General features: G+C 44.2%; 1 protein-coding gene across 9 annotated transcripts in view, besides 1 other annotated feature; it reads left to right on the forward strand.

Moving 5' to 3' along the window:
* The window catches only part of FAT3 (FAT atypical cadherin 3), a 671656-nt gene continuing 657735 nt past the window's right edge, over positions 1939 to 15859 (forward strand). For all 9 annotated transcript variants that reach the window (XM_017017179.3, XM_017017178.3, XM_017017180.2 and 6 more), the window contains exon 1: positions 1939 to 2295. The gene's annotated coding sequence lies outside the window, so the exon portion shown is untranslated. The remainder of the gene's footprint in view (positions 2296 to 15859) is intronic.
* Positions 3498 to 4355: an enhancer, noted in NCBI's record as "H3K4me1 hESC enhancer chr11:91959543-91960400 (GRCh37/hg19 assembly coordinates)". NCBI's record gives its function as "activates a minimal SCP1, AML or CMV promoter by ChIP-STARR-seq in naive H9 embryonic stem cells {active_cell/tissue: H9 hESC(naive)}" and the evidence as "EXISTENCE:reporter gene assay evidence [ECO:0000049][PMID:30033119]".

Consider the following 15859-nt stretch of genomic DNA (forward strand, 5'->3'; position numbering starts at 1 on the left):
ACCTGGCAGTCTTCCCAGGCAGAAGGTAGAAGATGCCTGGCCTCCTTGCCAGCACTCCTTCCTTGAGCATCCCAGTGGCCAAACCACCACCAGCCGACTCTACCCAAAGTGCCTGGTTGCAGGAGCCAGGCACTCAGGTGGGAAATACCTTGATTCTTTAAAACCTTTGATGCAAAGTTAGCTGCATTCTGTCACAAGGAAAATGCCATGCCAGGGACATATTTATATGACAATAAACTTTTAGTGCCTTAGAAAGTTGCTGAATAAAACTAAAATCAGAATAAAATTAATCAGATGCTAACATTTTGGAGAGCAGGTAAGTTTTCCTAGCTCTGTTAGTGGTTTCCTTCACTCCAGACCTATCTTCTGGCCTTCCGTGACAATGAAGCCCTTGGTAACATCATGCTTATTACCCCCGAATTAGCTGATGTATGAGGAGCTGTCACCGTTCCTTAGTATTCACATTAAAATCTCAGGGCGGAATGACCAGAGCATGCCGGGTGCTTTATGTGGCAGTCAAGGCAGCGAGGCTGCTGGAGGCTTTCAAGGGGAACTTTCCACCCGTGGGGCGTGGCGAGGCCTTTGTGTAACTGTGAACAGGGCAGAGGTCCCAGGCTGGGAGCGCGAAGGCCAGAAAGGTAAACTCAATCGGCATTTTAAAGCGCTTGCTCTAGTGATTGAGCACATAGCCCTCTAGAAGCAGCCCTACTTCGCCCTCCAAAGAGAATTTCGTGTTTCAAAAAAAAGTAACGATTTCCTCTGGGGAAGAGATCTGCAGTCCTGGGGTCCCTTTCTCCTGGTGCCAATGGTAGAGTTGGGGAGAAAGTTCCCGATAGAGAGCATAGGAGGAAATGCGCCAGCTGTGCTTGCCTTAGAGACATATGTGAGTTGAGCTCTCTCTCTCCTCTCTCTCTCTCTCTCTCTCTCTGTGTGTGTGTGTGTGTGTGTGTGTGTGTGTGTGTGTGTGTGTAGGTGGCGAGTGGAGAGGGTTAAGGCTGCTTCTTTGCTGGGGGGAAAAGAAAGGCAAAAGTGTGAGGATACACAGAGCAGGGAACGAGTGGAGTCCCCTCTCCACCGGGGCAGTGTGAGAACGGAGGGCGTGCAGTCAGGGGGTCCTAGGACTTGGGTGGGTGCTGCAGAAGTGACCAGGAGGGCTGACAGGGTGGAGATGCAATCATCAAGCTCCAAATCAATCATCCACCCCTTCAGAGTCCCTGTCCTCCATTAAGACAAAAAAATGTTTAAAACATATTGGGGGCAGAGGAAGAGTGAAGAGATTGGACCACGTTAGCTGCTTAGTCTAGTTCCCTCCTCCACAAGGCAATCGGATGACCCCAGGATCTCAATGTTTAGGAAAGTCGTAGGAGCCCTCACTGGGAGGCACATTTTTAGTCCAGAGGCACGACATTTGATGGTTTAATCTTCACACTACAAACTAGCCTTGGGACGTTATATAAACCATGTTAACCTCGATGTGCCTCAGTTTCCTCTTTGTCCCAGGAGAGTAACGCGTTCTCTGTCTTCACAGGGATGTGGTGCGGGTGAGACTCAATGCACTGTGCGAAAGCTCTCCCAAGCCAGCAAGCACCACGCTCTCCCCGCGGCAGGAAAGTACGTTGGTGTCATCCTAGAGCCCCAGAGGGCTGAGGGAAGACTCGAGCTCTAAAATTAGCCGCTTCCAGGCCCGGCGCCGGGAATGCCCTCCAGTTCGCCGCGCCTCCTCCGCCGCCCCCTCCCGCGCGCCCCCTCTCCCCTGCGCCACGCTCCTAGATCGCTAGTCATCCCCGCCGCCGAGGCTCCTCTCCCCCTCGCCCTTTTCGCTCGCGGTTTGGGAGGAGGAGACTGCGAGAGACAAGCGCGAGGGGGAGACTGGAGAGGGGCTTGGCCGTGCGTCGGCGTCGGCTGTGATGGGGAGCCCGGAGCAGCCAGGCGGCGAGCAGTAGCGGCGGCGGCTGCAGCTCGGAGCAGACAGGAGAGCCGGCGCTCCTCCCCGCAGGCTGCGCTGTGAACTGGCCTGCGGATTGGGATCTCGCGCCTCCCGTCCCTCTCCTCCCGCTGCTGTTCTCTTCATCTCGGCTCCCCTCCTCCGCTTGCGAACCCCCGGCGGCGGCGGCGGCGGCGTCCCGAGCGCAGAGCGCTTCTGCTCGCGGCCTCAGTCCCGGCTAGCGCGCGGTGGGCGCTGCGGCGGCAGCAGCCGGGGGACCGGCTCGCCCGGAGCAAGAGCGCCGAGCACCGGGTGAAGAAGACCACGGGGGAGGCGCCTCGTAGAGCCGTGGATCGCCAGCGGAGGCAAGGGTGCGTGGGGATTTGTAGCGTGATGATTTGGCTGCCTGGTGCACCGACTGGAGCGCGCCTGCCGGAGCACAGCCTCAGCTGCTGGGTGCAAATGGGCTGCGAGGTGGGCTGGGGAGGCGAGAGCCGACGAAGCGCGTGGGGGAAACTTTTCACCTTGTAAAGTTCCAACCTCCGCGCAGCCCCGAGCCGCCGTTGCTACCGCTGCAAACAGGAGAAGAGGGTGGCTTGGCCCCGCGGCGGGAGCCGGGAGGTTTACACGGAGAGTTGGCCAAGTTTGGGGCTGAGGATCTGGGGAGGGGTTGCGAGGGGGGTTGCGGATCAGTGCACCCATCCCCGGCTCCCAGCCGCCCCTGCAGGTGGATGAGAAGGTTCAGGTGGCGAGCCTGCTTGGCAGCCGGTGCCTCTCGGGCGCAGTGGGGGATGTTCAGATGCCGATGGATGATGCACTTAGGGGACCCCGAGGTGCAAGTTGGGTCATCGCTAGGCGAGGCGCGGCGCAGAGAGGGAGCCCAGCCTCCACTTTCGCTAGGAAAGGGAAAGGGTTACCAGTCTGCGGGTCCGTTCCCCACGCCTGACTCGGGCTTGCGGGGCTTGTGGTCAGGGTGAGATGTAGTGAACGGCGGCGGCGGCTCTTCGACTGGGGACGACATCCTTTACGGAGTGGTTGGGGACAGAGACTGTCCCTGCTATCTTGACAAGGAGAGGGAACCGGAATGCTTTGCGAGAGTGCATGATTTTTGGCGGGCGTGTGGGAAGGCTGCTTGTCTTTGAAAAGAAAGCAGCGCGGGTCTGACCATCCCCAGGAGTGCGGAGGAGCTGTCTCCGGATTGGGGGCGAGAACGCCAGGGGCACCAGCTCCGAGCTCAGGCCCCACTCCCGGGCGGTTCGGGACGAATCCCCTCTACAGGCCAGTGTGTGTGCAGGGCAAGTGTAGGGGGCTGAGGGGCGCTGGCGGGGAGGCAGTAGAGGTGGCCTGGACCATCTTGGCGCGGCGCGCGGTGAGCGCGAGGATTCCGCCAGTGGGAGTCGCTGAGCTAAAGTGCATCTGGCCCCCCGGCTTGCATGATGGCGAGCCCGGATATTTTTAGCTGTGCTGTGATCTGAATTCCCTCCTCTCCTCTCTCGTTGACTTTTGTCACATGTGCTTTCCGAGATGGTTTAACATTGAACATGATTGGGCTTTGCGGAAAGCAACTTTTATTCACTTTCCACCGTTCTCCTCTTGTGGGCGGGGGGTGGCGGGGGCGTGCTTGGGGCAAGGATGCAGGGGTGGCCGGAGTTTGGCTGCGAGCTAAGAGAGCCGCTTGGGTTGCTCGGGATGAGAGGAACAGGGGTGCTCCCGGGGTGTGGGTGTGCTGGCGGTGACATCCTGAGGCTGCAGCTCGCTGGAATAATGGGCTCAAACCAGGCGGTGGAGAGGGGTCCCCGGAATGGACGTCGGGGGCGGGGAGGCTGCGGAGACCCTGCGAGGTCTCCGTGAAGGACTAGGAGGGGCTCCCGGGAGGGAGTGGCGCCTGCGGCCCGGAGCGTGGGCGGCCGGTGGCTCTGGCACGCGGAATCTGGTGGACTCCTAGCGCCTCGGCCGGGAGCTCCAGCTCCATCCCGCCGCCGCCGCGCGCCCAATGGGACTCAGCTTCGGGTTTGGGCGAACCTGCAGCAGCCGCGGCGGGAGGGAGGGACGCTGGGACCGCGGTAATGATTGAAGTCTTTTTCCCCCCTCTCCCCTCCTCCCGCTCCTCTCCGCCCCCAGACTCTGGCGCGTTTGTTTTCCAAGTTGGATCCCACTTCCATTTACAAGTGTCAGACAAACCCGCGAGAACCTCCCCCAACCCGCCCCGGCCCCAGCCAGACTAGGGAGGGCGCCCAGGGGGAGGGGGCGAGCTGTCTGGGCAGTGCCTGGGGAGGTGCGACGCGCCCACCCGGGGCTTGAGCGGCTGGGGTTCCTGTGCGTGGGTCCTTAATGTTTAAAAGATACACATGAACAGCAACAAAACCCAAACCACTCGTGGCCACTTGTTTTCTGCCGCTTTTCTCCCACTTGCCTCGGACATATTAATTTTCTGGCCCCGACGCTAGTCTTTTCAAAGGCGAGTCCGGGGTAGTGGGAGGAAGGGGCGGGGGAGCAGGCCTACCAGTTCATCACGGTGGATTTGTGCTCCTGGCTTTGTTGCTAGGATTAGATTCTCTGATTGTGCCCAGGCTAAGTTAAAATAAAAGCAGAGAGACAGAGAAGCGGCCAGAAAGACTGCAGACGACTTTGCCTGGATCCAGGCGGCAAACTCAGGTGGTGGAAAGGGGAAGCCCGCCATCTAGGAATTGAGGACCGAGGTGCCCACATCTCAGTATCGATCAAACAGAGCCCAGATTTCTTCTCCACCAGCAGACACTGAACTTCTCTTCACATTTACTGAATGCTTGAATGATGTTCTGGTGTGACGTGGAGATTTGAATCTGAGAAGGAAAGGAAGGGAGGAGGGGATGGAGGAGAGAAGAGAGAAGAGATTTGAGAGACTGAGATTCTTCAGAATCCTAGAAATTGCACAAAGCCAACTGCTTCTGCTTTTTTTCTTTCTTCTTCTTTTTTTTTTTTTTCTTTATTCCTAAATTGGAGCAATTGAACAGTGAGAGAATAAGGAACAGCCAAGGAAACCAGGGCTCTAAGAGACAAAGACAAAAAAAAAGCATAATAACTTTAGCACTTTGATGTGCTTCTTATTTAATAGGGTTGGAGTGGGGGAAGTTTTTTTTATTTTTTTTTTAACATTTTACAAGGAGAAAAGTTGTCTCTTAGAATTAAACCGAATGTTGATATTCAATCATGAATCTCAGTTGTTGCCTTTTTGGAACTTGAACAATGAGTGATGCTGGGGCCAGTTTCTGTGCACAGTGCACTGGGATGAGAAAGTTCCCAGAACTGTCCAGTTATAATGTCTTCATATCATCTGAATCACACAGAGAACTCCACATGAAAGGCAGCTGGCTCAGAGATCAGAAATCAGTCAGCTGCTGGGCTGGCTCCATCTCTTGTGGCTGCAGGATTTTCACAGCCAGGGTTTGTTGACCAGCGACTGGCTCTCAAGCCTTTTAGAAATCTTTCTTTCAAATTTTATTTATTCTGGTCTCTGGCGGAGTCATTTTGGGGATTTTTTTAATAGGACCCAGTCTGTCTGTTAACTAGCAATTACAGTTGTGCTGAGCTACTCAAAAATGAAATGAGTAGCAATAAACAGTGGATACCCACTGACCTGTATGCTATACGGTTATTTTGCTAGCCCACAGCCTTTGTAAAGCTATGGCTCTTCAGGCTGCTCACAGAAGAACATTTTGATGTGTCAGGTTATGTTATCATCCCTGCTTTCTTCTTCATACGATCCTGAATGACCTTAGCTAATCTGGCTGATGAATTATGTCAAATAGAAAGAAGTAGGCAATTACCAGGCAGGAGAGGGTATTTAGTCATTACCAGCAGGTCTGAGGAGTGCTCCTGGTGGCTGTTGCGTTGTTATGCTATATTAATAGCTCACAAAGCATAAAGGACTATTGTGGCTTTATTTTACCAGTTGTGGCATTGGGGTATGGCATTCCTTCATAGCCCACATCTGTCCAGTTGCCTGGTGGGTTGGCTTTTTCCTCTAGGGCAAGAAGGAGAAAGATAGTAATGAGGATATTTGATTTTTTTTTCCATTGTGGGGTCATCCCCAGGTTTTTCTTTTTTTTCCTTCTGCAGGAGCCTTGAGTAGGGAATCATCTGATGGGAGCAGGTGGGCCTGTCCATTTGAATTGATTTCCTTTGATTGCTGAAGAAGGACTATTGATGAACCACTTCTTTGCTGATTGTGGCAAACATTAGAATTGGAATGGAAATTTAAAAGAAAGGGATCTGACAGACTTAGAGTGAAGGATTTGTGTTCTGCCCAATTCCTTCCTAGAGTTAGCAGAGCCTCTGATTTCTACAGATATGCATGGTCTTAAAAATATTAAAGGAAGCACAACTCCTGTGTATGCAGTTTTACTTATTGGTGAAATTTTCTGCAATGCTTTTTTGATCTCTAACTGTTGAATATGTCATTTTCATCATCTTTCTACCCAAATTGTGAGGAGTGGGTCTTTGTTTTTTAATATATCCTGACCTCTTGAGGATCACCACAGTGTGACAACTTTCTCTGGGAAGACTCAGAGAGTAAATATCTTTTCTGTGTTTTGGTCGATTTAATTCTACAGGCTTCTCAAACTTACTGAGTTTTCTGTCAATTGCAGGGTATCTACTCCTTTAATAAGCTTTATTCCTTTCCTTGTTTTCTTTTTTTGTTTTTTCGTGTTTTTTTTTTTTTTGTTTTTTGTTTTTTTTTACATTGCCTCCCTTTCTCCAAATTTCTAAGAATAATTTTCAGGAAAGACTGCCTTTCCTTGAAAAAGAAATTCAGCTTAATGACACAGACTGCATTTATTGAGAACATATTTGACACTTGTCTAGTGGCTTCAAGCCAGTTTCTGGTCTACCAAAATAGGCTATCAGTTACATGTAATAGTGACAAATGACCCATTCTAGCAGTTCTGAATTGGAATGGCATTTTCAGGTTAGTCTTAATTTTAGCATATTCCAGGACTTAGATTTTTTTTCTTTTTTTTTTTTTTTTTCTGCTAAGTGGAAGGGATGAAAATTTGAGAATGGATTAACTGGCATGATGATAGAAAATAGAAAACAGATTTCAGAACTTAATCAATTAAACTCTTCACATAAACAAAATATTACTTCCTTCACCAGATAGATATATATGAATGTGGAGAGCCTAGAGGAGGTGTGAGGAGGGCCACAGCATTGTCCTTCCTTGAACAATGCATTATTGAAGGTGTTGCCTACCGTGGGCGGAAAAGTCATACAGAGGACCCTGAGAGGAGTCCTTGAGCAGTTGTTAGTATTTCAACGTTCTGCTCTTCCAGGGTTCCAAAACTGTGAATTATAGACTCTTTAATAAAGGAAAGTTGTTTCTTTAACTTTTGCCTTTGTACATCTGAAATATATCCCTTTTTAAAATTCTGTAAAGTCACATGGAATTTAAAATAATTTTTTGTCTTTAAAAAATGTCTTGCTTTCTCCTCTATTTTCCCTATTTTATTTTTGTTATTTATTTATTTAGAAACAGAGTCTCGCTCCATTGCCCAGGCTGGAGTGCAGTGGCGTGTTCTTGGCTCACTGCAACCTCCGCCTCCTGGGTTCAAGTGATTCTCATGCCTCAGTCTCCCGAGTAACTGGGATTACAGGCGCACACCACCATGCCCTCTTAATTTTTATATTTTTAGTAGACAGGGTGTTTCACCATGTTGGCCAGGCTGGTCTCGAACTCCTGGCCTCAAGTGATCCACCCACCTCGGCCTCCCAAAGTGCTCGGATTAGAGGCATGAGCCACCGTCCTCAGCCCTGTTATTTATTTTTTAAAAAAATTATTTTAAAGTTCTTTTCAGCGATATTTACTGAATCTACCTCTTTCACAAGACAGTGGGCAAGATTCAAAGAATAGTAAAATATATCCATTGCTTCTGCTTCGTGCTGTTTATTGAGAAAATGAGAGATGCCTGTGTGTGTACACTAGAAGTCACATCTAAAAATGTTTATTAATTGACAAAAGAATGTCTATGAACAGGAGCCTCAAGGAGGAGGGAGAGATTAATGTGAGGTGGAGTAAACTTTTAAGAGGAGTGTAAGTTATTAAAGTGAATATAATTCCATTTAATAATTCTTACTACAGCCCTAATGTATGCAAGGCACTATGAAATAAATTAATTCCTTCATTTGTCAGGGGGCAGTGCAGAGCTCCTTTTTGGAAGAACGTATTCATGGGGCAGCCCAAATGGGCTGTCGGAATGTTAGTTAATATTTTGAGAAGACTTCAGAATTTATTCATGTCCTTTCTCCACTATCCCCTTGTGGTCTCCCACCCCCCAATTTCAAAGGTAACTTTTAGGATTTTTGAATGTGTCTGGGAGCCTGCATGCAGGTGCACATGGTGTATTCTTAGTCCTCTGTTTTCCTATGTTTGAGACTCAGTTATGAATCTCAAGGTTAACTTTGTCACAGAACACCTCAGAGTGTTCTGTCCTTTAGGTATTCATCATTTAGATCTGTTGCTTGGTTTTTTACCTTAAAAAAATTTGTAAAAAATGGCTTACAAAGTAACATTAGCTTCCAGAATGTGAGTGAAAAGGCAGACTTTTACCTTGGACGTTCTCTATGACTTGATCCTACTTGTACTTTTCAGAGCAGTTGCAAATAATATTTCAGTTAATTCTTTCTTTCTTTTCTTTTTTGAGATGTTGGAGATAAGCCCAGCTGTTGAATGAGGCACAGTTATGAAAGGTTAAGTGGAAGTTTAATTGTAACTTCAGGACTTCAACTAAATTAAATTCCAAACAATCTGAAAAAAATTGTAGCCTTTTCAGTACCATGGAAGGTCAAAAAGTGAGCACTCTGGAGCAGCTATTGATGTTTTATATTTTGAGATAAGCCCCAAATTATTAATGCTACTAAATATCATTGAACATTATTTGATAATTGTAAACATCTAAGAGTATGCCAGATGACACAGATTAAATTTAGTGACAAATGTGCTTAATGACAGTATAAATATCAGGGTTTTTTTTTTTTGTCAGATAAATTCTATGTAAGTCTGTGTGTGTTTTCTTTCAAAGCAAAATGAGGCTATATCTTGGTAGCAGGATCAGCTTGGTCTTTTTTGAAACCTAGAGCATTTATCACACATGACATTTTGTTGATTTTTTAAGTCTATGTGATCAATATTTTGGACCTCTGAAATCTATTTTTGATTGTGGTTTGAAATTCTCTGTTGGTTCTAAGTGGTGGCTTAATGATAGCAGTTGCTGTTGTGATTGGGTGAGCAGTGTGTTATGTGATTCATGTGGTACCGTCCCATGCTAGGGTGGATTTTGCAGCTAGGGTTTTCTCAGATTGGCCTGGCTATGGAGAACTTCACTGCAAAGAAATGTACACATGAAAGTGGGCCAAATGCAGATGACTTTAACATCGCCCATGTTATGGATAGAATGGGGTGTGAATCTTTCCCACACTTTCCACTTAAAAAAAAAACCTTTGCTAATAACAGTTTCAATCAAATGAATAAGAATTCAGAAGTGTGTGGTAATCTCTCTTGAGAATTTGGTACCTATCTGATAGGACTGTAAAGGCATTTCAGAATGTCAATTAAATGGAAAAATATGCCTGGAATTGAATATAATTAAGAAATGTTGAAGTCTGGTGTCTACATATTCAGACACTGTATAAGATGGTTTAATTAGTGAACAAGGATTTGGATTTATTGACAGAAGGTCTCTTTCTCATGGCATGTTTCACTCATTAAAAGCTCATAATGTCTTGGATCTTTTTAGCTGTTGGAACTTGACCATTTGTCATTTTGTGCTTCTTGACTTCAGTGATGTCGTTTTTTTTTTTTTTTTTTTTTTTTTTGTTTAACTGTGCAACTGATTAGGATGATGTTGCTTCTCTCATTGATGATTATTTCCATGGAGTGGACGCATGGTGTCTTGTAAACATTATGAAGCATCACCAAAGCACTAGGCAAAACTCAGTACCTCTGAAAAACAACAATTGGGAGGTAGAATTATTATTGTGGAATTTTTGGCCTAGCAACTTAGAAGTAATTAGAGTAACTTCCTCTTTATAACTACTAGCTTTATATTATATTTACCTGATGGCAGAATTTACATTTAAATTCACATTTCTCTACATCTCTCTCAGTTTTTCAGTTAATGGTTTATTAGTTTAAATCCTTTTTATTCCTGACTGTTGGGCTGAAACAGTTTCTAATCATACAGAAGACTGAAATTCTTTTTTAATATTCTTGTTGTTGGATATATTTCTTTTTGAACTGCATTTGATGATTATAAGTGCCTGAAAGAACTGCAGTTAGTAAAGAGAGAACTTGGGAATGTTGACAAGTGAGGTAGGGAGAAACATGGTTCAGTTAGTCCTTGAGGATTTTTCATTACCTGTTTATAACTTAGATTTTGGCTGTCTCCTATACTGGTACTAATGTGAACAGCTACTTTATAAGATTTTTTAATTCCTCATCTTCATAGGTATGTTCTCTAAGTCAGAGCTATTTAAAGTAATCTAGCGTTCCATCTTTCCTGTAGACATAGCAGATCATTCACAGTCTGGTTGAACTAAGTACACATTACATCGTTGGTCGTTTTGGTGGCATGTGCTGGGTTCTTCAGGCCCGTGTCATTGTTGGCAAAGTATACTAAGAGTGCTACTATTATCTTGGACTAATTTTTTCATGGAGCATATTAAATAAATGTGGTGTCTGACCCTTCAAAAGTTAGCTTCCTCACCTGAGTGATGTTCAGCTAAATAGGTATAAGTCGTAATGTATGTGTGATCCTAAGTCAGTAAGATGGTGAACTGAAGTGACATCATCTGCTTGGAAGTCCCTGGATTAACAATGGGACTTATATTTATATTCAGAAGACAACTGCTACAATGAGGAAATTGGGCAATCTAGGCAATTGAACAATTGAATGGGAAATGTAAGACAAAACATATTATATTGCCAGATCAATTCCCTAGATCTTGTTGAATTATACGATAATTAGATAATCTTCTTTTATTTGGAAGTGTACATTTTGTAAGTGTAATAACTTGCAATAATCACTTTATTCCTAAGTTGTATTCAGCAGTGCACATGTTGTGTTCAGTTTACATTCTGCATATTTTTGTTAAATAGGTAGTATTAATAACATATTTTACCTCATATCCAAAGAGAAAGAGGGAGATGCAGGTATTTTGAGATTTATCACTTTCATACAGCTCATCAGTGGTTACTATAATAATCCAAGTGAATAAACCTAGATTGTTCTTTATACAATAGATATGTTTTTAAACATTGAGTGTAAATGACATTTTTCAAAACAAATCACATCTTAAATGCTTTCAACTAGGGAAAATACACTCTTTATTTAAACAGATGTGGCAAATTATTTTTATAAAGTAAATAACAATTTGTCTCTCTTACATTTATCTGTTTTTTAAGTTTAGATTTTGTATATTAAATTTCTCAAAGAGATGCAAGAGTGTATACATATTGGAAATACGTTTTTGTTCAAATATATAATAAAATGAAAGAGTTTGACCTTCTCCCTCAGTACTGCTTTGACGAGAAGTGGCATCAGAGGGGAAAATAAAGGGAGAAGATGGAACTAGAATGAGAAAAAACAGAAATGTCCACCTAGTTTATGGAGATGTTGAGGAAATGTTAAAGTTTAAGAATTTCTGGGCCAGGAGTGGTGGCTCACGCCTGTAATCCCAGCACTTTGGGAGGCTGAGGCAGGCAGATCACCTGAGGTCAGCAGTTCGAGACCTGCCTGGCCAACATATAGTGAAACTCCGTCTCTACTAAAAAATACAAAAATTGCCAGGCACGGTGGCTCATGCCTGTAATCCCAGCATTTTGGGAGGCCGAGACCAGTGGATCACAAGGTCAGGAGTTCAAGATCAGCCTGACCAACATGGTGAAACCGTATCTCTACTAAAAATATAAAAATTAGCCAGGTGTGGTGGTGGGTGCCTGTAATCCCAGCTACTCAGGAGACTGAGACAGGAGAATCTCTTGAACCCAGGAGACGGAGGTTGCAATGAGCCGAGATTGTGCCATTGAACTCCAGCCTGGGTGACAACAGTGAGACTCCGTCTCAAAAAAAAAAAAAAAAAAATTAGCTGGGCGTGGTGGCACATGCCTGTAGTCCCAGCTACTTGGGAAGCTGAGGCAGGAGAATCGCTTCAACCTAGGAGGCAGAGGTTGCAGTGAGCTAAGATTGCGCCACTGCACTCCAGCCTGGGTGGCAGAGCAAGACTCCATCTCTCAAAAAAAAAAAAAAAATTCTGGACAGAAGGGCCAGGCCAGTCCAACCCAGAATCATACCTCTGACAATGTCAGTACTTTTGCTGACACTCCCATTTCTAGCCTTTGGAGCATCCAGAGAAGTTCCCCTCATCTCTCAGGGCCTCTTGTCTTCTGCAGCCCCTCTGCCTTTTTCTCTCTTTGGTACTTCTTGGCCCCTTTATCTCTCCCAACCCTCTCTAGTTCCTGTAGTCACTGGTTGCAGCTCCATGCCGTCCTGAAGGTATTGCTTACACCTGACCTCTTATATGGTCTCTTCATATCTCTGCACTCAGGTCCCCCTACACTTTGTGGTATTATTGCAGCACTGTTCACATGCCTTGTAATGAAATTACCTGCGCGGGTGTCTCTTTCTCCCATAGGCCATCATTCCCTGGGCTCAGTGGGATAACATATTAACCTTTGGTCTCCCACTCTTATTGCTATATCTTGCTGGTATTTAATATTTAAAATTGAATGACTCTATTTGTTTATGTTCAACTTGGTTAGTGATTATGGACTTCCACAATTGACCATCTATGACCAAATATTGAAAAATATCTCTTTGAGCTATTAAGACTGCGTTATGATTCTGGTACTGCAAAGATATATTACTTCTGAGGTCCACATTTCACAGTTGGAGGAAAGATCCTCTAGGCATAAATACACATGCTCTTTATTGGCTGATCTGCTCAAGCTCTGGATCTTTCCTGTATGTTCTAAGCAAGTGTTGGGAACACATCAAGAGGGCATGTTGGATGCATCCAGGTGTCCAGCCGCCTTTCAGTAGCATCACTTTGTCTTCAAGGAATGTATGATAAGGGTGTTATGTACCTAATAGTACATTTGCATGGCGTTTGATGTTCACAGTCGAAGGTAAAATAGACTGGGAGGTAGGAGCATATCTCAGTGCTGAGTTCTTTGTGTCTCAAGAAAGCATAGAACACATAAGTAAGAATGTTATTATTATAAGAATCCTTGGAGCCTTTCTCAATTCTATTTAAAAATTAAATTATTCATAAACACCTGTGCTGTAACTATTATTACACTAAGTTACAGTCAACACACCTCATAAGGGATTGAGTCTTTCCAGTATATTCTGAGGCCCAGATGCCCACTGGGGTATGGGTCACTCCATAGTGACCATTGTGGGCAAGAAGATCTTTCTTTAAAAGTTGGAGGTACAGTTTCTGGTACATAATAATGCTTGTCTATGTAAAGCGAATGTATGAAGTAATGTGACAGTTCATAATGGAATAGATAAAAATGCAAGTCTTGTAAAATTTAAATCCCCCTCTCCTTTTTTTTTGTTCAATTACACTGCACTATATTCATTATTTGAGGGGCAGGCTGGTGAAATCAACACGTGAGCAGGTGCGTGTCTTGGGAATGTCCTACTACAAAAAATATTCAATGACTATTTCCTGAATGAATAGAAATTGGAAAAGGCTGTGTCTGTCTTTTAGACACTTTGTTATTCTGTGAGTTTAACAAACAAAATCTCATTAACACCAAATCCACAGGAGCATGAGAAATGTGTAATGCTCTTAATTTCTTATTAAGTGATCTGTGTTTATTAAAAATTGGCTCGGAGGTACACTGCACATAATTCATAATATTGGAGTCTATATCCCTGAATCTTTCTTGTACTTAAAATTTGCTCACAGTTCAGTGTTGGGATCTTGGGTAGGAAAAGGGATATCTTATTTCTGGCGAGATTTACTGAAATGGGAAGATGACGAGTTAGACTTTGGAGATCCTTTTTTCATGCTCCCATGCCTTTTAGTTTTGTGTGATTGTTTTAGGCCTTTATTTCTCCAGGCATACTTTGTACATGTCTATAAGCAGATGAGAGGGAGCAAGGGCACATAGGGGCTGATAGAGGCAAATGTAAATCCCGTTTTTTCCCTATTAACTCATGAGGCCTGCTGGGTAGCAGCAGGCATTACCAGACATTTAATTGTGTGTAAGGTAAGGTTGGCACAATTCCAGCATCATGGTGGAGCAAGAATTATACTAATCAGCTGGGATATACTGCATATATTGATTAGAGTTGGATTTTGTTATGCAAAAGAAAAAATCCTTATAAATAGTGGGAAAGTAATTGAGAGTAATTAAAAAGGCAGAGAGTTAATTCACAGTTCTTTAGATGAAAGGGTATTTTGATCCTTTGCTTCCATGCAGATTTCCGGGCAGGCTGGAGCAGTCTGTGAGTGCTGAGTGTAAATGGTATGATCGATGTTACCATTCAACTGGATAGTAAACAGGCAAGCTGTGTAGATGATACACTGGTGACCAATTTCGAACAGTTTCTACTTGGTGACTCTCCTTTGTTTGGGACTAGGGACTTTTCCCTTATTTTTCTTGGACTTTTATATAACTTTTAATCATTATTAATATCCCTGATGAGAACTAAATGTGGACCCCAGTATCCTAGTGAACACTGGTGAGAATATTATACCACTTTGGAGTTACCTGGAATTCCAGCATGTTTTAATGTTGCTGCCCTCCTTCTTCCAAACGAGAAGGCTTTATAGCCTTTGGTGTCACAGAAGACCTGTCATCTGTGAATGGTGACCTGAAATAGTGTATTCACACACACTTTCTTGCCTCTTGAGCCCTTTCACTCATAGACAGTCCTTCCAAAAAATACTCAGTGAATACTGGTCCAATGAATGAATGAGATATTGTAGATTTTGGATGGTAGAATAATTTAGCATCTTGAAGAGAAATTATAGGTGGTATTTGGTGGAGTTCTGAGTATTACTATCTGAGATCCTGAATAAGATGTAGGAAATGGGAATGTGGTGTGGGGAAAGAAGAAAATAGCTATGATTTATTGAGTATCTACTTTATCATACTCTTTGCATACGCACTTTTGTTCTGGCATCACCCATGTCCTATGAAGTAGATATTAATATCATCATTTCACAGGTGACAAAGATAGGGTTAGGAGCAGAAACAAGGTCATAGGCCTTAATTGGCAGGGTTGGGATTTGAATCTAAAGCTCTTGTTGATAATAACATCAAGAGTAGCAGCCCCCATACTGGGAAAGGAGGAGGGTTTCATATTCTCAGAATCTGGGTGTGGGCCCAAAGATAGAACATGAGTATCAGGTGGATTTCTTTGAGGGCTGAGTATTTTTCTTCAAAAATTATGCTAATTTTACAGTCTGTTCCATAATGTGCTTGTTTAAATGTGAAACATATTAACTTACTTAGTCATCAAAGCACTTAAATTTTCTCCCCTAAATCTTTAAGTAAAATTGACCACCCAAAAGTTGCTCCCAGTATATACTCAGAGACACCTCTGGAATGTCCACATAGGGAATCGGAGGGGGCAATCTGGTTGGAAGAGGAACTGAGGGTATCTTGAAATTTCGTTTGTATAGCAAGCAGGTTTTGTTTGTTTGTTTTGTTTTTTGTTTTTGCTTAGATTGCATGCTTACTTAGGGTGGCCTGGGGCTGTTACAGATGGGGAAAGGGCTCATGCTCCAGATTTCATCTTTGTTTACCTAGGAACTTTAGGAATCATTATTGTAACTGCTGTCAATCCAAGTTTGAGAAGCCTGCACAGAACTATACTGCCCTAAATTATTTAAATAATAATAGTAATGAGAACAAATACTATGCATGTGTTTAATTATGAA

The sequence above is a fragment of the Homo sapiens genome, chromosome 11 (assembly GCF_000001405.40).
Source record: "Homo sapiens chromosome 11, GRCh38.p14 Primary Assembly".
Taxonomy (NCBI): Eukaryota; Metazoa; Chordata; class Mammalia; order Primates; family Hominidae; genus Homo; species Homo sapiens.